Source organism: Homo sapiens, chromosome X (assembly GCF_000001405.40).
Source record: "Homo sapiens chromosome X, GRCh38.p14 Primary Assembly".
Taxonomy (NCBI): Eukaryota; Metazoa; Chordata; class Mammalia; order Primates; family Hominidae; genus Homo; species Homo sapiens.
Genome location: NC_000023.11, coordinates 32,830,929 through 32,857,953, shown reverse-complemented (window position 1 = coordinate 32,857,953; position 27,025 = coordinate 32,830,929). Strand labels below are relative to the sequence as shown.

At 36.7% G+C, this 27,025-nt stretch overlaps 1 protein-coding gene and 1 non-coding gene across 18 annotated transcripts in view; both read left to right on the top strand.

The window, feature by feature from the left end:
* Positions 1–27,025, top strand: part of DMD (dystrophin) — a 2,220,167-nt gene that overhangs the window by 481,435 nt on the left and 1,711,707 nt on the right. For all 17 annotated transcript variants that reach the window (XM_006724469.4, NM_000109.4, XM_011545467.2 and 14 more), the window contains 2 exon segments: positions 8,134–8,226; positions 13,094–13,171. In XM_006724469.4, coding sequence (XP_006724532.1) covers positions 8,134–8,226; positions 13,094–13,171 — 171 coding nt within the window.
* On the top strand, positions 9,949–10,047 carry LOC124905283 (small nucleolar RNA U13). The gene has a single exon (XR_007068445.1). It is a non-coding gene; the product is annotated as a small nucleolar RNA U13 (small nucleolar RNA).

Below are 27,025 nucleotides of genomic sequence, written 5' to 3'. Positions count from 1 at the left end.
CTATAATCCTTTACTCCCTCTCCATTTTGGTTACCTCCAGTTTTAAAAGAAGACTTATAAAAGACCTTGGTCTATGTATTTAAGTTTGGCCCACAAAGCAAGATTCTGTCTGCGTTTTTGACCTTTGCCTAGACTTTGTCTCCAAACCCAAACGTAGTCCTTGTGTCTTGGATGCTATATGATCCTGATGGCTTTGGGATTCATGTTTTATTCTGTACTCCAAGACTTCTCTCACCTTTCCCAGTCTCTGCTCCTCTTTTTGAATAAACAGCAGTTTATCACGCACATACTTCTTGGTCTGACAGACTTCAACTTTCTACCCTGGATTTTTTCTTTTCATAAAAACAAGTATCTCTGTCAGTTAACAGTTAACTATATTTTCTTCAACAATGGACACATTGCAGTGCATAAGATTATTTTTTGATGAGTTTAAAAGTCATGCTTTGCTCAGATAAGTGTGAAATTTTGCTCCTGGCCAAAGGAGGGAAAAAAACACATCATTTTAATGGCATTGTATACCTTCATTCAATTTGAAAAACAAATTATTACACTCAAAATACCAAATTATTCCAGGTTAGATATGAAGTTCTTGGCAGCACTATTAGAAAGTGTAAATTTATTTTCTTATTACTAGAGAGCTTTCCTTAAAGTTTCATTAAAATGGCACTGTTTTAAGATTTATGTGTATATTATGTATAGTAAAGTTGCTTTGTTTTAGATTAAATTTATGGATACATAGTATATTTAGGGGGTAAATAGATATATTGATACAGGCATGCGAAGCATAATCATATCAGGGTAAGTGAAGTATCTGTCACCTCAAGAATGTATCCTTTCTTTGTGCCACAAACATTCCACTTCAAATTTTTTTTTTTTTTTGAGACGCAGTCTTGCTCTGTCACCCAGGGTGGAGTGCAGTGATGCTATCTGGGCTCATTGCAAGCTCCGCCTCCCGGGTTCACGCCGTTCTCCTGCCTCAGCCTCCCAAGTAGCTGGGACTGCAGGTGCCCGCCACCAAGCCCACCTAATTTTTTGTATTTTTAGTAGAGACGGGGTTTCACTGTGTTAGCCAGGATGGTCTCGATCTCCTGACCTCATGATCCGCCTGCCTCGGCCTCCCAAAGTGTTGGGATTACAGGCGTGAGCCACCGTGCCTGGCCCAAATTCTTAAATGTACAGTAAATTGTTGACTGTAATCACCCTCTTGTGTTGCCAAATAGATCTTACTCATTCTAACTAGATTTTTGTACCCACTAAACATTCCCACTCCTCCTGTCCCCAACTACCCATACTACACTCTGGTAAACATCATTCTACTCTCTGTCTCCATGAGTTCAATTGCTTTAATTTTTAGTTACTGCATATGAGTGAGCCCATGCAAAGTTTGTTTTTGTGCCTGGCTTATTTCACTTAATACAATGTATTCCAGTTCCATCCACGTTGTTGCAAATGACAGCGTCTCATTTTTTTTTATGACTGAGTAGTACTCCACTACGTATATATGTACCACATTTTCTTTATCCATTCATTTGTTAATGGATACTTGGATTGCTTCCAAATCTTGGCTATTGTGAATAGGGTTGCAATAAACATGAGGGTGCAGATATTTCTTTGACAAACTGATTTCCTTTCTTTTGGGTATATACCCGGCAGTAGGATTGCTGGATTATATGGTAGTTCTGTTTTCAGTTTTTTTGAAGAACCTCAAACAGTTCTTCACAGTGGTTCTACTACTTTACATCCCCAACAACGATGTACCAAGGTTCCCTTTTCCACACAGCCGCATCAGCATTGATGTTGCCTGTCTGTTGGATATAAGCCATTTTAACTGGGGTGAGATGATACCTCATTGTAGTTTTGATTTACATTTCTCTGATCAATGATAGTGACAACCTTTTCATATTCCTCTTTGACATTTGTGTCATCTCTTGAGAAATCTCTATTCAAATTTTTGCCCTTCTTTCAATCAGATGATTATATATATTTTTTTCTATGGAGTTGTTTGAGCCCCTTATAGATTTTGGTTATTCCTTGTCAGGTGGGTAGTTGGCCAGTATTCTCTCCTACTCTGTGTGTTGTGTCTTCACTTTGTTGATTGTATTCCTTGCTGTGTAGAAGCTTTTTAACTTGATGTCTCATTTGTGCATGTTTGCTTTGATTGCTTGTGCTTGGTAGGGTATTGCTCAAGAAATATTTGCCTAGACCAGTGTCTTGGAGATTTTATCCCAATGATTTCTTGTAGTAGTTTCATAGTTTGAGGCCTTAGATTTAAGTCTTTGTTCCACTTAGATTGATACTTTTGTATATGGCGAGAGATAAGGGTCTAATTTCATTCTTTTGCATATCCATATCCAGTTTTCTCAGCACCATTTATTGAAAAGATGGTCTTTTCTTCAGTGTATGTTCTTGGCACCTTTGTTAAAAATGAGTTTACTTTAGGTCTGTGGAGTTGTGTCTGGGCTCTATTCTGTTCCATTGGTCTATGTGTCTGTTTTTATGCCATTAGCATGCATTTTTGGTTAGTATAGCTCTGTAGTATAATTTGAAGTCAGGTAATGGGATTCCTAGTTTTGTAAACAAGGATCATTTGATTCTTCCTTTTCAATCTGGATGCCCTTTGTTTCTTTCTTTGATCTAGCTAGGACTTGTAGTAATATGTTAAACAACAGTAGTGAAAGTGGGCATCCTTGTTACAGATCTTAGAGAAAAGTCTTGTAGTTTTTCCCCATTCAGTATGAAATTAGCTGTGGGTTTCTCATATGTGGCTTTTACTGTGTTAAGGTATGCTGCTTCTATACCCAGTTTTGAGAGTTTTTATCATGAAGGCATGTTGAATTTTTATCAAATGCTTTTTCAGCATCTATTGAAATGATATGGTTTTTGTCCTTCATTCTGTTCATACGATCTATCACATTGATTTTTTGCATATGGTGACCCATCTTGGCATCCCTAGGACAAATACCACTTGGTTATAACGAATGACCTTTTTAATGTTGTGTTGAATTTGGTTTGCTAGTATTTTGTTGAGGATTTTTGTATCAGTATTTGTCAGAGATAATAGCCTGCAGTTTTGTTTTCTGGATATCTGTCTGGTTTTCGTGTCAGGCTAATATTGGCCTCACAGAATGAGTTCAGAAGTACTTCCTCCTCCTCTTTTTCACAATAGTTTGAGTATTAGGTGTTTCAATGTTTGGTAACATTCAGCAGTGAAGCCATCAGGTCTCGGGCTTTTCTTCACTGGGAGACTTTTTACATCTTTGATCTCATTACTTGTTGTTGGTCTGTTCGGGTTTTGCATGTCTTCATGACACAATCTAATTTTGAGTTTGGTTTGCTATTCTAGTTCTTTAAGATGTATTGTTTCTCTTTTTTTTTTTTTTTTGATACAAGTGCTTATTGCTGTAAACTTTGCTAGTACTGATTTATCTGTAGCCCACAAGTTTTAGTATGCTGTGTTTACAGTTTTGTTTCAAGAAATTTTATAACTTCCTTATGAATTTCTTCATTGACCCACTGATCATTCAAGAGAATATAGATTAATTCCCTTGTGTTTTGTATAATTTTCAAAATTCCTCATTACTGATTTCTCAGTTCATTCAACTGTGGTCAGATAAGATACTTTATATTTCAATTTTTTGAATTTAAGGCTTGTTTTGTGGCCTAACATATGGCCCATCCTTGAGAATCCTCCATGTGGTGATGAGAGGAATGTACACTCTGCAGCTGTTGGTTGAAATGTTCTGTAAATATTTATTAGGTACATTTAGTCTGTAGTACAGATTAAGTTCAATGTTTCCTAGTTGACTTTTTGCCTGATGACGTCCAAGGCTGAAAGTGGGGTATTGAGGTTTCCAGCTCTCTTTAGGTCTAATAATGTTGCTTTATATATCTGGGTGCTCCAGTGTTCGGTACGTATATATTTACAATTGGTATATCTTATTGCTGAAATGATTCCTTTATTATATGTTGATCTTTGTCTCTTCTTACAGTTTGTCTTGAAATATATTTTGTTTGATGTAAGAATAGCTACTCCTGTTCTTTTTTGGTTGCTATCGACATGGAATATCTTTTTACATCCCTTAATTTTAAGTCTGGCTTTGTAGGTGAAGCGTGTTTCTTGTAGGCAACAGATTGAGTCTTGGTGTTTGTTGTTGTTGTTGTTGTTTGTTTTTTTTTTTTTTTTTCTGTCACTGTGTTTTGATTGGAGAGTTTATTTCATTTATGTTCAGTTTTATTATTAAGAACTTATTCCTACCATTTTGTTTTCTGGTTGTTTTGTGGCTTTCTCTTCCATCCTGTCTTCCTTTTTAGTGAAGGCGATTTTTCTCTAGTGGCATGCTTTTATTTCTTGCTTTTTAAATTTTGTGAATCTTAGTATATCTTCTTATTTGAGGCTACCATGAGGTTTACAAACACTATAACCCATTATTTCAAACAGACAACACTGGTTGCATAAACAAGAAAGCAAAGAGAAAACTAATTAAAAACTCAAACTTCGTCTCTTTTAATCTTTTTGTTGTTTGTTTATATCTCATTATACTGTCTATGTCTTAAAGTTATTAGAGTTATTTGTTAACTGAAAGCTTCCTTTTTTTACTCTTCTTATTCAAGATATGAGTAGTTCATACATCACAATTACAGTATTACAATAGTTTGTGTTTGTCTGTACTTACTGAGTTTTGTGCCTTCAGATGGTTTTTCTGGCTAGTTAAGGTCCTCTTCTTTCCAGTTGATAAATTCTCTTTAGCATTTCTTGTAGAACAGGTCTGGTGTTGATGAAATCCCACAGCTTCTGTCTTGGAAGGTCTTTATCTTTCTTGTTGGAAGGAGATTTTCACTGGATGCACTATCCTAGCATAAAGGGTCTTTTCCTTCAGCACTTTAAATATGGCATGACATGTCTTAGCCTGTAAGTTTTCTGCTGAGAAGCCTGTTACTAGTTGTTGTTAAGCTTTTTGGAATGTATCTTTTCTCTTGCTGCTTTTAGGATCCTGTCTTTATCCTTGACTTTTGATGCTTGCCATCTAGGAGCCAAGGCCTGAAGTTGCATCTTTATGAATCTATCTGGTGCTCTCTTCTATTGTGGCAGAGCTGGCACCCAAGCCACAATACAAAGTTTGTCCCATTCTTCCTTTCCCATTTCATAAGCAGAGGAATTTTTCCCCATGGCTACCACTGCCTCAGGCTCATGGTGAGTACTGCCTGGCTACCACTGATGTTCACTCAAGGCCCAAGAGCTTTTTAGTTAACTAGGAGTAAACGCTGCGAGGCCTGGGTCTCTCCGTTCTGTGCAGTGGGTTCTCCTCAGGCCCCAGGTGAGTCCAGAAATGCCATCCAGGAGCCAAGGCCTGCAATCAGAGAACCCAGGAGCTTGCTTGATGGTCTACCTGACTGTGGTTGAGCTAGTACCCAAGCTGCAAGACAAAGTCCACTCTATTGCCTCTCCTTTCCAAAAGCACAAGGAGTATATCCCCATGGCCACCACACTTGGGAATGCATTGGGCCACACCCAAAGACAGCATGGCTCTGAGTCTTACCCAAGACTTGGTGAATACTGCCTGGCTACTACTGCTGCTTATTCAGGACCCAGGGACTCTTTAGTCAGCAGGTGACGAATTCTACCAGGACTGGATTCTTCTCTTCAAGGTAGCAAGTTCCCTTCTGGCCCTGGGTGTATTTAAGAATGTCACTCAGGAGCCAGGGCCTGGAATGGGGGGTCTCAGGACTCTGCCTGATGCCTTATCCTACTGTGGTTGAGCTTGTGTCCAAGTTGCAAGACAATGTCATCTTTACTGTCCCTATCCTCTCCTCAAGTGGAAGAAGCAGTCTCTCTCAAAGCTGTCAGCTGCACTGTTAGGGGTTAGAGGATGGGGTGGTACAAGCACTGGTGTCTTACTGGGTTGTGTGCCCACCAAGTCCCCTGACTTCGAGTCCAGCACGACACCAAGACTTGCCCAGGAATTGCAGTTTTTGTAGCCTAGACTCCCTTTGAAGTTTATTTAGGACCCCAAAGTGCTTGAGCTCACACTGGTGAGACTAGCTGGAACTCAGCTTCTAACTGCTGAGATGGGTGATACCTCCCTGGATAGGGCTGGTCTAAATGTGCCCTCTATGTGCGCTTGATGAATTCTGCCCTGTGTTGCTTCCCACTGTGACAGGGCAGCACTGGGTTCCAATGCAACGTTTCACAATCCTGCGCCCTCCCTCCTGCAAGCACACAGATCGTCTACATGAGACATGGCCTCTGCCAGGGGATGGGGGAGGGGTGGTGTTGGCAATTCGTAACTGTCTTTCCTACCATCTTCAGTGCCTCTTTCCTTGATATGATATTAAAATCAAGTACTGTGATTGCTCACTTGATTTTTGGTTTTTATGTAGGTGCTTGCTTGTGTGGCTATCTGTTCAGTTTGGTGTTTCTATAGCAGCGGTAGCGGGAAAGATGATTGCTGGAAGGTTCCATGTATTTGACCGTCTTGTTCTGCCTCCCTCCTAGTAAAGCTATTCTTTAAAAATTCTAGCATGTTAGGGTTTTGTGTTATGTTCTTTTTCCCATGGAATTTGAAAATGGATCTATTTGAGTAGAATTTCAAAAGAATAACTCATAATTTTTGTCTAAGTATATATGTGGCTGGATTCACAAAGCTGGGCACACAGGGACTGGTTGGTTGCCGCAGGTATCATTGTTCCCTGCTTGAAGTACCCGGGCATTTACAGGTCTTGTCATTGACATGGCTACCTGGTTGTAGGAATAGTCTAAATCCTATGTTTTTAATCGTGGAAGTTTAAGGGATGTCTTTTGCCTGGAAACCAGGGATTTTCTTGACTTGTGTGAAATTCAAAGTTTATATGTGATCCAAGGAGTGTATGTAAAGAGCACAGTCACCCAAAGGCTAATGTTAGACCCATCACCTGACGTTTTTTGGAAAGTATTTGTTGATCCCAAGGCTTGTGAGAGCTCCCACTGTTACATGTTCTTTAGTCCTTTCTAATGCTTCTATGTAATAGTACCTTTTAGGAATATTTTCTTTGCTGGACTCTAAGTTCTATAGGGTCTGGGCCTATGTCTGATGTACTAGCATATGATTCAGTACCTAGCTCAGGTTTATTCATGCTCAATATGTCTTTGACTGATTAAATTAGGGATTTCCAGATAGGTGATGAAAAAGCTGGGAATTACCTCATGAGGGGATTGTAGGGTTTTAAGCAGAAAACGATTTGGTGAAGTATGACAAAAGAAAGACAAATGTTAGAAAGATAATCAAATAGTAGGTTATAAAAGGACAAGGAAGCAACATAAGATTGAAAGAACAAGAACCCAGAATTAGACAGATCTGAGCCATAATTTTGGCTTTACCCCATTCTAGTTTCATGACAAAGAGCCACATACTCATCTTACATGAGATACTTAGAGGTTAAGTATGTTACTGCTAATCTCAGAAATGCCACAACGGTTATGAAATCCACTCATTTAATAGTGTGTCTCATGAGTATTTACGTTAAAAATGTTAAATATTATTTATTGACTATTATTTTTCCTTAGTATAATTCCTGAGCAAAGAACTGAGTAAAATAGATGAAAAGCTCTCACAGGGTTGTTTCAAACCTAATTAAACCCGATATTCCTAAAATTTGAGTTATCCAGTATGAGAATAGGTCATAGCATGCAAAATGTGTATGCACAGCAAGCATGTTTTGAGTGATAAGGATGTCGAACCACTCTGACTGGTATATTCCAAGAATGGTTAAACTTTATGTACCCACCCAGGTAGATTGTGGTCTTTTGCTTCTTTGTGTATTTACTTTTCCCTTTACCCGTAACTGCCTTGATCATGCCTGTATTTTTTCTCTCCTTCATAGAATCTATATTCATTTCAGTGAATTAATTAGATCATTTAGGGTATAAATCTCTTACTCTTGCTATTCAAACTAATTCAAATAGACTTGACCTATGATAAAATTTTTAAATTTTTTTTGTCATTTGAACTTTCCTTTTTTCATCCGTCATCTTCGGCAGATTAATTATGCACACTAATTATCCTTAAATATAGCTTTAGTTTTCAAAAGGGGATAATCGTGAAAATGTATCATTGGAAGTGTGCTTTGTTAAATTGAGTGTATTTTTTTTAATTTCAGTTTGGGAAGCAGCATATTGAGAACCTCTTCAGTGACCTACAGGATGGGAGGCGCCTCCTAGACCTCCTCGAAGGCCTGACAGGGCAAAAACTGGTATGTGACTTATTTTTAAGAAAGTTAACTTTAAACTTAGTAGAATTTCAGACCAGAAACTGACAACATAGTTTTATGACATCTAGTAGAATGACTAGGTACTGATTGAAACAGCAATACCTATTCCTTAGTAAAGCAACCTCGTATGATTTTCATTTGGCATACTCTACCGCCTGCAGAAAAAGTAAAAATTTCAGTAATACAATTTATATTAATAGATATTATTCAGTTTTACTACTTGGTATCTATCTTATCAAATATCTTAATGAAGGCTTTTATACATAATGACTTGAGAAATTATCTTTGTACTTTTGTGTATTTTTGAAGTTATTTTACAAGGAACCTGTATGAGTTTATACATGTGGGATAGCAAAATAAGGTACAGGCATTATAGTGTAATACGTGATAGCATATGTGATGAAAATATCACTTCCTCTTGAACTATTATCTTGTCTAACTTCAGAGCATTCCTGTGAAGATACATGATTGATATACATGATTACAGATCAGTGAAGTCATGTTGATCAAGGTCTTACACTGGGGGGGGAAAGAACTCAAATTGAAATCCCCTGACTGAAATAATCGTCTTAGATTGCTATTCTAAAAAGTAGAGTTTAAGCCCCCAGTCTATAGTCATAAATAACTGTTCTACCTATCAAATTCTGCTAAATCATAGCCTTCGTCTCTTATCTTTGCCCTTCATTACAACTCCCCAGCACATGCACATACACACACAGACACACACAGATTTTGTCATATTATACAAACTGAAGCTGTCGTTCAAAGTCAGTTAGCAAAAATCCTATCTACCCCAGCCTGCCTCCTGTAACACTTAACGCTAAGCCACTCTTTTCTCGGTATATATTGTCAGATATCTCTGGGTTTTTGCCTGTATTATTTTACTTGCCTGTATTTCTTTTTGTACTTCTGTCTACCCCAACTGTCTGCCAGAAACCTTGATTTCACCTCAGTAAAGCTTTTCCCAAATTACCTTTGCTAATTTTTCCCTCCCAAATTCCACAGAAGGCCCATTTTTGTCTTGTTTTTAGTGTATGTATGACTGACATCCCTCCTCAATTAAATTCTGAAGTCCTATACAGAAGAGACATACCTATGCTTTCATTTTTTATCTTCAGCTATGTGAGATTAATACTAAAACGGATCCATTTTTTTCAAGAAGTCTGAACTTGTACTAATAGAAGAACAACTTGATGACATATTGAAATAATAACTTTAGTCAAGGGGGAAAATCAGATTTAATACCTTATAGCTGAACTGTTTGCTGGGCGCCAATTTGAGGTCATCATGTAAACTTGGTCTTAATTTCACTAGTTAGAGATAGATTTGTGTGTAATTCATCTCCTATGACTGTGAACAATTTACATATATATGGATACGTAGCATATGTACAGAAATCAGTGTGTCTGTGTATCTCGTTTCTCCTGTATTCTGAAGTCAGTCCTACTTTGTTACCGAATACAGAAGTCCCAGTGTCTTCCAAATGTTCGTGAAAAATCTTTCAAAGATTATGGCTTACTCATCTTGTCCTGGCCCTCTGTTAGGAGGCTGTTGTCTCTTCACTTCCAGGTATCTGCGTGATCACTTCTCCTGTGTTGCAATCCTCTGGTCATTTCCCTGACTGAGTCAATCCATCTATCACCCAAAGCAATTTAGTCAGGGTTAACAAATTTCATACATAATGTTTAAGATAATGAATTTCAGATCCTTTCGTAATTCATAAGCATGATTTGGGTGTTTATACTCAGATATGAGATAAGCCTTTCTCTAAACTTATGATGTTGGCACACTACCCATTTGATATAAAGAAAAAACCACTAATTTCGGCAAAATTAAAAAATCCACATGATTTGCATTTATGCATATACATACATAGACGCTAAGACAAAATGAACCTAATTAGTAATAGCATTAAAGAAAAAAATATCAAACAAAATATCCATGAGATTGGCCAGTATAAGGTAAGCTAGTGGTAGGGAAAAATCACCAAACATTTACACATGGCAGTGTAGATTACATAATTTCAGATACTGCTACTAACAGAATCCATTCACCATTGTTTGTCCTAATCACAGATCTGTCAGCCCTGGTCTGAGGATTTTGCCTTTCTCATAAAGCAGAATCACCTCTAACAAATGCTCCCGATCCCAGAACTCCAATTCGCTATGCCTTGTCTTGAATTCTAATAGTTTCTGTAGAGATATATCTTCTACTCCTAATGGGAGGCATGTATACTATAGAACAGAAATTTTAGTATTCTACTCAGAAGCATCTGCATTTGGATTATTGGCTCAGGACATCCCCAGGGTTAAAAGGAAGGTACTTGCCTTACAATCATAAAATAAGAAATACTCCCCAAGGAGACTCTAATAGGGGCAGATTTTAAGTTCCCACTTCAGGATCAGAAACTGCAGCTTTTTAAAAGAGTAGACTATGTTTGGTTCTAATACATATGCACATGTGTACATTTAATGTTTGAATATGATACAAAGGAAAATTTTGCTAAATCTTGTGACTATATAATTACATAATTGAAAGGAAATATGTGGCTTTGGTCTAACTACTAGGCAGAGAACTGATTTGAGTAATTATTTTCAAAACTTTAAAGTCCTATAATTACCATTAAACTTGTATACTGTCAATCTATATATACACAAGAAGATTGGTTATTTGCTGTTTTTCTTTCATGTATTTTTTTTTTATTTTGATGGAATCTTACTCTGTCGCCCAGGCTGGAGTCAGCGACATGATCTTGGCTCACTGCAACCTCTGCCTCCTGGGTTCAAGCAATTTTCCTGCCTCGGCCTCCCAAGTAGCTGAGACTACAGGCATGTTCCATCATGCCTGGCTAAGTTTTGTATTTTTAGTAGACATGGGGTTTCACCATGTTGGCCAGGCTGGTCTTGAGCTCCTGATCTCAATGAGCCACCTGCCTCAGCCTCCCCAAATGTCTGGCTGTTGCTTTTTTTTTTTTTTTTTTTTTTTTAAATCTAAAGTCTTATTTTTTTCCTCTTTTTGGTGGAAAGTGGGAGAAATATCAGAATGTAAACCAACATCATTCTGACATTCTTGGAGGAAAATCTAAGAGGTAAAAATGGAGATTCTGGTTCATAAGGTTAGCCTTAATGTTTTGTGAAATCAAAGGAACAAGATGTCAATACTGTGTTATAAAGGATATCAGGCAAGTTACCTTGGAGAGTAAGATGGCTTTAGCTTAATTTGGGTTGTTCAGCAGGCAGTGCAAATGATAAGGAGTTCTAGGGTGAGGAACTACTTGAGAAAGACCAGGAGCTTTGCTGGAAAGTATAGGAGTTAAATGCAAGACACAGAAATATAGATATTTGTTTGGTGCATGCACAAGGTAGTTAGAGAAGAAGGAAATAAATTTGCAAGACTGGGGCTCTACAGACACAGACAAAAGTTTGGGTCCTGGCTCCACCAATTATTAGTTATATGGTAATCTATATATTAGATATTTTAACCTGAGGTTCACTTCTGTACAATAGGGATGAAACTAACTGCCTTGCAAGGCGGGGATTAAAGGTAGTGCATTCAAAGTACTTGGCACATACTACGAAGTCAATAATATTTATGTTGGACCAACTATGTGACAAGCACCAATCTTAGTGCTTTATGCATATCGACACACTGAATTCTGCCAGAAACCATATGTACAATGGTTTGAGCAATATGAACAATAAGTAGTGCCCTGGACAAGGTCTGGATCCTGTGAGACAGCATGCTTCATGTTTGAGTGAGGGCTTTGACCTCAAATGCAGAGAAGAAAGTATGTCGAATTCTCTTGTAAATCAGAGCAGTTGTTATTGAGAGCACATGTTGTAACTTGTGTATGCCTCTTGCTAATATTTTCATTAAGTCCATTTTTAACAGATGAGAAAACTGGTATACAGGGAGATTAAATTTTTTATGTAGGCCAGACAGCACAAAAACAGCAGAGCTGACAATTGAACCCAGGCAGTCAGCTTTGTAGCTCTTGCCCTTAACTGTTACCTATAATCACCCAAATGTTTAGGTGAGAACTTTGCAAGTGGTTTGCATTGGCAGTGGGCTTACTTCAGGAACGTCATTGTTGATGGTATGAAGGAAGGATGAAAAAAATGGTGAGTGAGTGGAGAAGGGAAAGAGGTTAGATTTCTCTGGGCAATAGCTAATAAGGGCTTGTAGTAAGGTAAAAGAAATGAAAATGAGAGTAAATAAAACAGGTTATCATAATGGTAGAATTTCTAAAACTCTACAACTTAATAAATGAGTTAATTTGTATATTACAATGAACTATGCAGATGTTGGTTTAAAAATTACAGGATAAGATACAACTTTTGGGATTGAGAATAAAATTAGGGAACCAAAGTGATTGAGGTTTAGAGCTTCAGTGACAAGGACAATTAAGGTAATCTTCACAGAAAAGGTTTCCTTTAACCCTATTTGGCATTATATAATTTTGCTAGAGTCAAATCTCCTTTAGATTTTTCTAAAAAGTTTGGGAATTGTTTTTCTATCTTACTAGAAAATGTTTTTATGCATGCTGATGTTTCTGTCATTGGTGGTCATGCAGTAATCCCCAACTGGGCTATAGAATGAAGAAACAATCATACCAAAATAGGCTTTGTAAAGAAAAAGTGTTGCCATTCTTAGAGTGGTTGGTTTATGCTAAAAACGTACCAGGCCAAGGACAATTAGCGCAAAGTATTTAGATTCATTATATTAATGCCTCACAGGCTCTGTTCGTTTACAATATTCAAGCTTAATAGTGAAATTATAAATGGTTTCATTTCTAGTAGATTGTCGGTCTCTCTGCTGGTCAGTGAACACTCTTTTGTTTTGTTCTCAGCCAAAAGAAAAAGGATCCACAAGAGTTCATGCCCTGAACAATGTCAACAAGGCACTGCGGGTTTTGCAGAACAATAATGTAAGTAGTACCCTGGACAAGGTCTGGATGCTGTGACACAGCATGCTTCATGTTTGAGTGAGGGCTTTGGCCCCAAATGCAGAGAAAGTATTTCAAATTCTCTTGTAAATCAGACCAGTTCTTACTGAGAGCACATGTTGTAATTCGTGTATGCCTGATTGTGGCTAATATAATTCAGGAAGCAAATGCATGCTGCCACAGAGGGAAGGGAAAAGACATAGACCTGACCTGATAGGCTGCTCCCTGTTTTCAGATTTTACTTCATGAAGCTGTGTTTGGTGGACAAAGTCCTGCAGTCAACTCGGTTTCTTTTCTTACTTTGCTTTTCTTTTTCTTTTTTCTTTTCTTTTCTTTTCTTTTCTTTTTTTTTTTTTTTGAGATGGAGTCTCGCTCTTCTGTCCCAGGCTGGAGTGCAGTGGCGTGATCTCGGCTCACTGCAAACTCTGCCTTCCAGGTTTAAGCTATTCTCCTGTCTCAGCCTCCCGAGTAGCTGGGATTACAGGCACATGCCACTATGGCCAGCTAATTTTTGTATTTTTAGTAGAGACAGGGTTTCACCATGTTGGCCAAGGCTAGTCTCGAACTCCTGACCTCAGGTGATCCACCTGCCTCAGCCTCCCGAAGTGCTGAGATTACAGGCGTGAGCCACCGTGCCCGGTGAACTCTGTTTCTTACGGCAGTGTTTTGTGCAACAAACGGATTTTTCTATACCAAATATTTATGTACTAAATGTGTTCAAACCTGATAATGATGTTTGTTTAAATCAAGCCAACACTTATTAAACGCTGTCTCCAAGCATATAAATTATACAGAAACATCACTATTTTTACTTGGGGTATGAATGGCAGATTTGTTTTTTTGGTTTAGATTTAACTGGATTAAAATACGTGTGTTGCATTAGAAGAAGTAAACAGTCACAGCTAAACCAAGTAGGCAGGTCAGAGGAATTCTAATCTCCTCTGAACCACTTGGTGACTCTTCCCCTGTGTCATGGCATTGGAGGCAGCCTTCCTTTCTTATTAACATCCTAAAATCTGTCTAATCGACCAATACATTTCACCAGGCACTTAGTAGCTCCCTAATTACATTACCTCTCTCTTTCAAAGATAAACTCAAGTACATTGAGTACGTTGATCACTTACTCTTAAAATAACCATAAGCAGGGATAGATTAATAATAACATGTACTCCCCCAAATGTTGCTCAGCTTATCTGGCAGGGAGATGACATTACATAAGATATGGAAATGGAAACTGTGCAGCAATTAATTGGCTGATTTTATGAATTCAGGGTCATTGTCACCTTTAACCTATGAAAGTTATTTTACAGAGATGTTTGTCTTAGGAAGAAATTAACTAGATTTTTCACTCCGCAGCCAGAATAATCTATGAGCTGATTTTCTTGTTTATTAGTCCGATGGACTCTTTGGAAATATCAGTGTCATTGACATTATGAGAATTGTTAACAATATTAAAGTTACACAAAGAAAATGTCTTTGAAATATCAAAATATCATATTCTGTTTCAAAATGTAGCAGTGAAGAAAAGAGCGGAACACAGAATTATTAGATTTAATTTATTTGTAGCTTGACTGTCCCCAGCAAGAAAATGTCATTTAAAAAAACAAACTTTGGGATATCCTGTAAAACTCAATCCTGCATAAAGAAAATGCGGTACAGGTCGGGCGCGGTGCTCATGCCTGTAATCCCAGCACTGTGGGAGGCCGAGGCTGGCAGATCACCAGAGGTCAGGAGTTCGAGACCAGCCTGGCCACCATGGCGAAACCCCGTCTCTACTAAAAAATACAAAAATTAGCTGAGTATGCTGGTGCATGCCTGTAATCCCAGCTACTCGGGAGGCTGAGGTAGGAGAATTGCTTGAACCCAGAGGCTGAGGTTGCAGTGAGTGGAGATCGTGCCACTGCACTCCAGCCTGGGAGGCAGAGCGAGATTCCATATCAAAAAAAAAAATAATAATAATTTGGTACATATACAGCATGAAATACAATACTATGCAGCCACAGAAAAGAATTAGATCATGTCCTTTGCAGCAACATGGATGAGTCTGGAGGTCATTATCCTAAGTAAACTAACACAGAAACAGAAAACCGAATAACACATATTCTCAATAAGTACGAGCTAAACACTGAATGCACACGAACACAAGGGAACAAAGAGCCAGCAGCAGCTAGTGCTGGGGAACTTTGAGACTCCTACGTGATAAATCATGAAAGGGTGTATGGGGGGGGTCTTACTTGCAAGTATGTTTTGGGAGGTTTTTTGGGCACACATGCTCTGGTTGTACATGCTAGCACACATACCACATCTCATTGGCATCTAAAATCTCCACCCAGGGGTGTGTGGGTTTTTTTGTTTGTTTGTTTGTTTACACTATTACAATGAGCAAAAGAATAGGGCAAGTTTTTGGAGGAGTGTGTGCATGCTTGTCAGTGGGGAAAATCCCTAGCGTGGTTATCTCTGGCGAGGGCCTGAGAAGTCCCCTTTGGGGCTAGAGGAGCCCAACCACAAGGCTAGACATAATCAGTGTGGACAGTGTGTGTATTCATTGTCCGTTTCGCTGATTGTCAACAGGCAGCACTGACTCAGTGAAACAGCATCTTCAGGACTTCTTTTCTCAATGGGGCTCCCTTGCCTGCTCATTTCTGGCTATCTGCCTACTCCAAGGGAACCAGAAAAATCCTGGCAATAAAACATATAGAAGGAAATTTATATGACTTTGGGATAGGCAAGTATTTATGATACCTGAATCCAAAGCATGTTTCAAAAAGAGAAAAGTTAACTTGGACTTCATCAAAATTGAGTTATTGCTATATTCTGGATATGAGCCCTTTGTTTTGAGTTGCAAATGTATTTTCCTTTTCTGTGGATTACCTTTTTACTCACTTCAATGGTTAATATTAATAAAAACAAGTTCTCCACTTGGATATAGTTTATTCTTTAAAACTTTATATTTTTATGACCTGTTGAAGAAATACTGGCCTACCCAAAGCCATTATGATACTATATTAGGTTATTATCTATAGAACCATTATCGTTTTACCATTTTGTTTTTGGATCTGTTTTACCTGAAATTGATTATTGCATATGGTGTGAGGAATAGGTTAAGACTCAGTATTTATTTTATTTGAAGTCTAATTAACACACCATTTATTAAAAATAATGCTTCCTCATTGCTTCACAGTACTAAGTGTGTCATTAAAAATTTGTCCGTACATATGTGGGTCTGTTTTTGCACTTCAATTCTCTTGCATTGTTCTCTCTCTCTCTACACACACAAATATCATGTAATGTGGAGTAATGTAGTTTTATAATACAGCCTAGTATCTGGTGAACTAGGTTCTCCCACTTTGTTCGAGATTTTATTGGTTATTGGCCCTTTCTATTTTTGTATTTGTTTTGTAATCTTTTCCATTTACATGTACATTCATTTTAAGTATGATTAACATTGAGTTAAATCTATAGAGAATAACTGACACATTTACATATGGAGTATCCCAGTCTTCTGTTTTTCTTGATTTTTTTTTTAAATTTTAGGTTTTCTAGAATGAGAAACTGAAATTGAACAGGAACACAAAAGGTGTTCACAAATTCAAGAATCATATTTAAGAAATGTTTAACCTCAGCAGTAACTTGAGGAAATTTAAATTAGAGCTGTAATGAGATACCAGTACAAAATTACCAAAATGACTGAACTAGACTACTAATGCCAAATGTTGATGAGGACATGGATCAACTGGAAATCTCACAATTAACTTCTGGAAATATAATTCAGGCAACTAATTAAAGAGTTGGGCATGATCTACTAAATGTGAAAATGCACATTTCTTACCACCCAGCAATTCTATTGTAGACATACAAGTTACAGAAATACATTTCCCAGTTTGCCAAAAACACATATATATGTGAGAATGTTCATAGCAGTTTCATTTGTGATAGCCCAAACTGGAAGTGACTATGATACATTCTCATGATGGGATATTACAGAGCAATGAAAATGACCAAATGATAGCTACACACAATATACAAGATGAAGTCGTTAAAATGTATTTGAGTGAAATAAATCAGACAAATTATACCTACTATGATTTCTTTCAATTAAATTTCAAAAACGGGCAAAATGTTTCCATGGGTTTAAAATTGAAGAGAGTGGTTAACTTTTGGAAGGAGTAAGTCAGTAAAACGCATAAGAGAATCTTCTGCGGTGCTCACTGTTCCATGTTTTGACCTGATAGCTGTTACACATGTGTATTTACTGTAAGAAAACGCATCAAGTTGTACACTTATGTATATTTTTCTATATGCATATTCCACTTCAATTAAAAGAGGAACTTATGAAGGGAACTTAAAACCTCCGAAACTCCACGGGCCATATATAGAAATCTGATCATAGACCCCATGTTTTCTAATGAAATTATTAAATGAATATAAGTGAATATAAAATTAGAATATGATGTCATATGAATCTCTTCAGGGAAGGCCACATTTCTTACAGAAAATATAGAACCTCCTAATGTTTTAGTAGGGAAAAGGCCCCAAAATAATGGCTTAAATTTGAGAAGGAGTTGTTCAAAAGCAGATATTAACAATGCTTTCATCTGAGCTAGAGCTTTAATGGGGAGCTGCATAAGATGCTGGCCTATGCGTTAGAGGACAAAACCTCAAGACATTCTCATGCAGAAACCAAACTTGGAACAAAGGAACCTTTACCTTAGCCTGTGGCTGAACAATAACACATGGATTTTCAAAAGTAAATCTAGGCTGGGCGCGGTGGCTCATGCCTGTAATACCAGCACTTTGGGTGGTCCAGGCGGGTGGATCATGATGTCAAGAAATTGAGACCATCCTGGCCAACATGGTGAAACCCCATCTCTACTAAAAACACAAAAATTAGCTGAGCGTGGTGGTGTGCATCTGTAGTCCCAGCTACTCATGAGGCTGAGGCAGGAGAATCACGTGAACCTGGGAGCAGAGGTTGCAGTGAGTGGAGATCGTGCCACTGCACTCCAGCCTGGCCACAGAGTGAAAAAAAAAAAATGCATTATCTTATAATTCTCCATTTTGTCATAAGTATAAACAAAAATGGAAAACATCCATAAGTACAACTTTAGTTTGCTTATTAGGAAGAATAAATCAAAATGCTCAAGCAGGATTTTTTTTCTAAAGTTGAGCTTGGGTGTGTTCTATATCAATAAGCCTGTGCAGGATATAAATAATCACATTGAAGAAGTCCTATCCAAATTTCCTTTTAAAATTCACAGGTATATAAGTTGATTGATTGGTGTCAGAGCAAACACAACCCTTTGTGTGTCAGAGATTACAGCCACATGGTAGGCAATATGAAGCATATATACTTAGGAACAGTTAAGTGAATAAAAAAGAGATACATAGAATAAGAGGTCTGAGAAGACCTTTTGGTTCAGTTCCTATATGAGCAGAGACCTGGAGAAAGGGAGTGAGCCTTGGAATTGTCTATAGGAAGGTGGGTTAGGCACGGTAATAAAGACCTTAAGGTGAAAAAGCATTTGGAATGAGGCCTCAGCAAGTGGAGTAGAGTGAGTTTAGAGATAAAGGAAACATAGCAGAGATAGGGGAGCAGAGAGGTAGTAAGGTGGGGGTGAGAAGAAGAAAGCATGGTGAGCCATTGTTGGCATTTGGACTCAGGTCTAAATGAGATGACAATGACTAAAAAAACACTACTAGAAATTAAATGGGTCATAAGTCAGGTTATTTTAAAAATCAGTAATAGTTCCAAGTCTTTGCTATTGTGAATAGTGCCACAATGAACAGATGTGTGCATGTGTCTTCATAGTAGAATGATTTATAATCCTTTGGATATATACCCAGTAACAGGATTGCTGGGTCAAATGGTATTTCTAGTTCCAGATCCTTGAGGAATCACCACACTGTCTTCCACAATGGTTGAACTAATTTACATTCCCACCAACAGTGTAAAAGCATTCCTATTTCTCCATATTCTCTCCAGCATCTTTTGCTGACTTTTTAATGATTGCCATTCTAACTGTTGTTAAATGGTATCTCATTGTGGTTTTGATTTGCATTTTTCTAATGACAAGTGATAAGCATTTTTTCGTATGTATGTTGGCCAAATGTCCATCAGTGATAGACTGGATTAAGAAAATGTGGTACATATACACCATGGAATACTATGCAGCCATAAAAAAAGAATGAGTTCATGTCCTTTGCAGGGACATGGATGAAGCTGGAAACCATCATTCTCAGCAAACTAACACAAGAACAGAAAACCAAACACCGCATGTTCTGACTCATAAGTGGTAGCTGAACAATGAGAACATATGGACATTAGGAGGGGAACGTCACACACCATGGCCTGTCAGAGGGTGGGGGGCTAGGGGAGGGATAGAATTAGGAGAAATACCTAATGTAGGTGACGGGTCTATGGGTACAGCAAACCACTATCGCAGGTGTATAACTATGTAACAAACCTGCACATGTACCCCAGAACTTAAAGAATAATAAAAAATATAAAACAGGAAAAATCAGACAAAATGAAAAATCAGTGATAGAATACTAACAAACTTAGAGTGTCATTTTATTCAAGAAAGTTACAGTCAATAACGAAAACGTATCGCACAGTAGAAATGCTGCTAAATCCATGAAGAAAAATTGATGGAAATATATTTTTAGAGCCATTAATTCACCACTGTCAAGTTTATGACATATTTAACAGCAAAAGATTGAGAGTACAAATAACTGTAGGTTTAATAGTGATTTTCTGTATCTCAACACTAAAGCATAGTAGATACTTCTATAAAATATGAGCATTATCAATAAATCTCCCTATGAAGTTGGATGTGCAAGAAGAGCAATAGTTTAAAAATTTCAGTTACATTAACTAAATTCAAGTCTGAACTCTCAACAAGGCATTCAGAAAATCGTATGTCTGTCATTATTGGGAATGCTCTCCCCTGAGCCTATGGAATGGCCAGAGCTCAGTAGATCCACATGGTGTCTTTCATAGGGCAAAAGCATTTTCATTTTCAGTTCATTGAGGCAACCAAGTGATACATTCACTATACAATTTTAAGGTATCTTGTGAAGTCAAGTGTATTAACTGTCCTGATATTAAACACGTGGCATACAGAAAAAGTTGAAGAGAGTGTAATCAGGGGAATATTTATAGAAACGTGGGGAGGATTAAAGGAAGAAACTATGGTGAAGAATGCAGGGATTCACATGAGTTAATAACCTTTACTACATCTAAACCTAAGCAGTCAAGGGGAGAGGGCTATTAATTTGATAAAATCCCTCATGTTGGGAGAGCGCCACTGGACACAACTGTGAACTGAGCCCCTAGGTATCTAAAGAATGCTGTTAGTTTCAAATCATTGCCTGGTGAAGTTGAGAGAAGTGATACCTTAGTCTCTCCATAGAATCCTCCAGTGTTTTGCCAGTGCCGCTCCTTAGTTTAGTCTAACCAGAAGTCCAAGGTTAAGAGATTCCAGGTGATGTAGTCATCACATACAAAGAAGAGGTGAAGAAGTTTGGTGGGTTAGTGAAGTAGGAGTGGAAAACGGTATAATCGGCATTCCAGGTATCTAGTTCTGTTTTGTTTCTGTGCGAAATGAGGACTTGAGAATCTGCATGCCGAGAACTCTGATGTTGGCTAGGGCCCAGTCTTGTTGGATGCATCAGGAAGCCAGTCACCTTTGAGGCCATACCACTTCTATTTGATGACAGAGAGTAGACGTGGTTTCTGGCTAATTTGGGGACTAAGGACTCCTTCCTATTCTTCTGGAGACAACCAGAGCCAGAAAAGAAAGACACGCTGAGAGTCACTTCGGATATCTGCTCTTCGTCGTAAACTTGTTAAAGGCTTAGGAAAATAGTAAAAAAAATTTCCTGCCACATACACAAATTATAAACGGGCAATATATTTGAATGCAGTGAAAATGTCATTAAATACACACAAACTTTCAAAATTCATGTTATTTAATAACAGTAGAAACTAATAATATACTTATAAATTAAGTTTGATTAAGGTTTGTTAAACCAAGAGTATAAAACTACATTTGTGAAGGAAAAAGCATTCCATATGAAAACCCATGAGAAATGGCTCAGGCTGTACTGAGAGTTTGAATTTTTGTCTTTGATTTTGATCTTCATTAAAAAGATAAATTGAATCAAGCTTTCAAATAAAAATGTTACAAAAATGCTTTAAGGAAAGCAGGAACTAAAGATAAAGAAATAGAAGAAACACTAGATAAAATATACAGCTAGTTCCTTATAATATGAAATAGATTAATATCTTATGAATGTGATCCAGACAAGGAGGGAGAAAAACAAATGTATGCAGTTTAAAAATGGAAGGGAAATATTAAGTATGAGATATAGAAACCAAAAACGGGTTTTACACAGAAATACATATATGTTTATTATAAAAAATGAAGTTGAGGCCGAGCGTGGTGGCTCACACCTGTAATCCCAGCACTTTGGGAGGCTGGGGCGGGCAGATCACCTGAGGTCAGGAGTTCGAGACCATCCTGGCCAACATGGCAAAACCCCGTCTCTACTAAAAAAAAAAAAATTAGACGGGTGTGGTGGCTGGCGCCTGTAATTCCAGCTACTGGGGAGGCTGAGGCATGAGAATCACTTGAACCCATGAGGCGGAGGTTGCACTGAGAGGTGATCATACCACTGCACTCTAGTCTGGGGGATCGAGCAAGACTTGTCTCCAAAAAAAAAAATTTTTTTTTGAATACCAGTGATAAGTTTGTCCACACACCAAGAAATTGATAATTGCTAATAGAAAATCATATGAACAGCCTCCTAATTCTATAAACCTATGAAAAGAAACCCTGGTTTAAAAAAATCACTCAAAATTTAGCCCTCTGATTTTTAAAGGAATATTAGAAGTGTCTTTTCAAAATGATACTTTTTGGTAATTTCTGGATCATTAAGTCAAGGTCATTTTGTCTTCTCTCTTTTCCTTAGGGTCTCCTCCATTTTAGCCTGTCCCTCTGCCATAAATCACTAGTTCTAGCATATTCTGTAGTTCTAAACTAGCTCCTCAGTTTAACCCTGTTCCTCAGTTTCTTTCCTTTCCCTGTCCTGGCGTTTAACCTGTTATCCTCACTTGAATGCCACTCAGCTTATATCTGTAGAGCTCAGACACTACGTCTGTGTTCCAATTTGCATTCTTTGTGGTGGCTGTTTTAGCATGAAGTTATCCCTGCTGTCAATAATGTATTTTGGAAAGCCACTTATTGAGAAGAAAGTACTTCTAAGTGCAGTGATAACTTTATTGCGGTATTTGCTGAGAGCAAAGCTCATTTGTAATAGTTGGTTGTGATTTTAAAAAGCGAACAAAATACAAAATCCTGAGAAATGGGAGACTATGCTACTAAGTGGTTATTCTTGTCTCTACATCAGCTCTAGGTAAAAATGTATCCACAGCTTCTTTTTATTTACAAGTTTTTGAAGGTAAAGCAAATCCCAGCTAGGATGAAACATCTCTTATACAGCCATTCTATTATTTCTTTGCCCTGTCCCACTTTTGTTTGTAAGTAGTGCCTTTCATTAGGCATTTTAAATTCAGTTCTACACTTAACTCTATTCTCTCAAAGATATTTAATGGGTAATTTAAACTTTCCTTGGATATAACTAAGTTCTAATCAGTGAGTATTCTCTATTAGATATTTGCACTTTTAATAATTTTGTGTCTAGTTTAATGATTAATTTTTTGTCTGGTAAAGGAACTTAGAAATTACAAATTTGATAGAGATTTAACTGTGGTGCTTTAAACTACCCCCCGCTCCCCAAGATGTATTATGATCTGTCTTCCTTTCTCCAAGCTTGTGTCCTCGTCTTCCCTCTTATGATTTCCTTGCTTACATTTTATGAATTCCGATCCCTTTTATAAAGATTCATACAAAAGGTATAGTGTTGAAATATACCCTAGGAACATTACCAAGACTTCGCTGACTTAATATAATTTAATATTAACTGACACAGTTGTAGATCTAATAATTATGTTCATTGTACCAGCTCATCAATTGTCTATCACAAGGTGGTAAGTTTTTACCAAGTAACTTCAAATCTACAATGTGGGATACTACAAAGCAAATAGTCATTGCTATACATTAAATCACAAATCCAAGGTGAGTATTTAAAAAGCCTAGGGTGGAAATTCAGATGACAGCTATGTTCAAATATTCACTTAACCCCATCATTGAAAATAGTCACTGAATTAGATTGAATGGTTGTCAGATGTCACTGATCTGAAAAATGATATACTGTTCACATGCTGGCATATAATGTTAGATAAAGAGGATTCTAAAATGTTCTTTAAAACTAGTATTTTATGTGTCCTTTAAGTATTCAGAAACTTAAATAGCCATATAATACATATTTTGGAGCATGTCAGAATATATTTGACTATAAACTACTTCTATTTATTACTCATAAAATCTAGTATTTAAGTACAAATTCCAAATTTAATTTGTTAGACAAGTATTTCTTACACAAAATTGTCAGTCCACACAATAGGCCTGTAAAATATTTGCACTTTATATGTATTAATTCTCAAGTTTGCAGAAGAGGTAGATCTTGTTAACTCTGTAACTTATCAACTATAGGGTCTTTGCCAAATGATTCCGTGACTTTGACTCACTTTATCATCTGCGAAATGCATTAATAGTAAATGTTCACTTCTTTCAAAATACTTGTTATGGAAGATACAAATATACAAACATAATCTCGTATTCATTAAACTCACATTCAGTTGCAAGGTAATATAACTACTCTTAAATTGCAGCATGTTCTCATTTAAAATAATTTTCTGGGTGAGTTGTTTATTCTTCCCATCCCCCTTAGTATACCTCTTGCTTTAAGGGAAATTAGTATTGACACATTTCTTGTATATTCAACTTCAAATTGAGATAGCCAGTTACCTATTATGTTCACATATGGAGGTCTGCTGGGATAATAATTATATAACTATAAATAGTACTGTTTAAAAATATTTCTTATAATGTCACTCAAGTATCTTTTAAGATTTTTATTGTAGCTATTGCTTTTTTTTTTTTTTTTTTACTTGAAATTAGTATACGTGACTTGAGCTTAAAAAGTTGGGGCTATATGGGTTGATTTTTGTCGTTAAAGTTACATCCTATATTGCCAGATAAAAGATACGTAATTACAAAAATTCAAATTAAATAATATACTGAAAGTATATATATCTTTCATACTAAATTGTGAAAGTATTGAGGACAGTGTCCATTTACTCAGGCAATGCCCTCTAATATATATTCTATATAAGGAATTTTGTTGAGTTTAGTTAAAAGAGCTACTTTCCCAAAAAGTTTAGTTTGCATTTTATTAATACGTTCAACCAGATTACCTGTATCAAAACTTCTATTTTGATAAATTTGTTTTAATGTCTTTCATGCCATTAAATGTTCATATTTTCTTAGGATTATGAGACACTTGTATTAACTGCCTCAATTCTTTATTGTCAAAGAGGCAGTATATAAACAAATGAAAACATGACTCCATTAAAAATAATTCTCCTGCAATGTATCAGAGTGATCATAAACATATCTGAAATATAGAGGAAATTTAACATTTCACTTGTCCATAAGCAATTTGTTGAAAGTCTATTTTTTAAATTTATTCTTAACATTCTATGCGTGGCATATAGTGAGTGGTCAAAAATAGTTAAAGAATGACTAAATATGTAAAACTTAATCATTGAAGGTAGAGATAGTATCTTTGTAGTGAGTACCCAGAATTAAATCTTGTAATATAGTTGAGGTCAAAATGTGCTTCAAAAATTATCTAATGTAAATTTCTATATCTGAATCAAAAATAATTCTTGAAATACGGAGATAAGGAAGGGAATAAAAAGCTGTCATTGGAAATCCAGGTCCACAGTGGCAATATGGCCCACCGTTTAGGTTGTATATATCGACGTATTTATGATTTAATAAGAAAAAGATTCAATACATGCATCTCTCAATGGAAGAAAATAGGTATGATTTATGCCCATAAGTCTTGAAATTTTAAACAGTGTAAATCTTAAATGTGGTGTAAAAGCACATGCTGCAGGGCAATGAAACTACTTTGCCTTTCCTGTATTTTTTATCTTTTTAAAATGCATTATATTTAGAAGGATTGTATGAATACTTGAGAAGTTTCTCTTGAATATGGAGAAGTCTTTAGCTTGGCTACATGATGGCAGACATCTTATAAAAGACATTTAACATGTTTAAAAAGCAAATTCTGTTTATCTAGAATGTTGGAAGGAACTTCTCGGTTTATATATATTTTATGAGAACGAAATGAAATGAAAAGAAATGAAAGAACCAAATAGATGGTGGAAGTACATGCTTGAGGTTTCAGTGTCAGGAAGGATATTTACATAATAATTTTCAATGCATGGGATTTCCCTTTTAGTTATTGTTTAAGATTCTGTTTAAGGAAATCAACTCAAACTTTTAAGGATATTTCAGGGTTCCTTTCAGAATCTTTTTGTGAAATTATTTTATAATAGTTTGTACCATTTCATATCTAGTTAAAATCACCAAGACTGAGTGAAAAGGTAGCTTACCCTTATCCCCCTCCCTTAGCTAATTTTAAAAATGCTTGTATTTTACACTGCATATGAGGGAACAAAAGTGACTCCTTCTTAGGACAAATATCAAACTCTGAAATGATCTGGGAGAACCAATTCCTTTGAAACAAATGTGAGAAACGACCTGCTTTAGTCTAATTTCAATTGGCTGAATGACGCAGGACGTGTTTTCATTAGAGCCTGTAGCTCTGAAATGTCCTTGTCACTGGTTGTCTAAAAAGGCAAGAAGAGGCAGACACCATATATTATAAAGATGATGGTTCCCCTGTGAATGAGATATAACTTTCTGCAACTTCCAAGTTAAAACCGCAAATGCTTAAATGATACACAAAACTCTAAACATCCATCTCTCTCTGCATCTAACAAAAATAAAATTGTATGAAAAAATTCATTAAAGCTTTGTCAGAACTTTGTCACCTGTCTTTTTCTCTCTCTCATACACAAACCACACATCACACACACACACACACACACACACACACACACACACACACACACACACGTAAATATCTTACAGGAATGTAACTCTTAGTTTTATTCATCATTTTCCCTTCTCTCTCTCCTTCTGCTCTGCCCTAAGAACTTCCATTTTCATTATTTGACTTGGTTATTGAAATTATTTTCAAGTTACATGCCCCTCATTCTGACGTCTTATTTACTATTTTCTGTTTGATGAACCCTAGTCTGCTATTCTTCTTTCTGTAAAGCAAATCAAAAATAACACTAACTTGTTCCTGTCAATAATCTTTCAGAAAACCATCATATTTCAGGTTTACTTTCATCTTAAGTTTTTCTTAAGTATTCTTAAATCTTGAATATATCAATATAATAAGTATAAATCCTTTTACTGTAAACCATCATGGGATATCTAATCTTAGCTTGAATAAAATATTGACGATGGTAGAAATTACATCCATGTTCCTGAAGGAAAGTGGGATAAAAGAAAACAGCGAGGTTTTTTGCCTGTCTCGAACAAGCAAATGACGAGAATTGTTCCTCATAGCCCAGTCATTTAGGAGGTAGAGTACCTGGAAGTAAATGCTCCCTGAAATGATTATATATTAATCTTAGAATTACTAAATATATATTGTTATACAAAATTATGTATTGTAAGTACTAGTCTGGCGATAGAAGAGGGACCCCCTTAAGTTCTTGTCCTATGCCTTTAAAATAGACAGCAGGAGACTACTCCATACTAAAGAATAATTTAATGTATTAGGTTT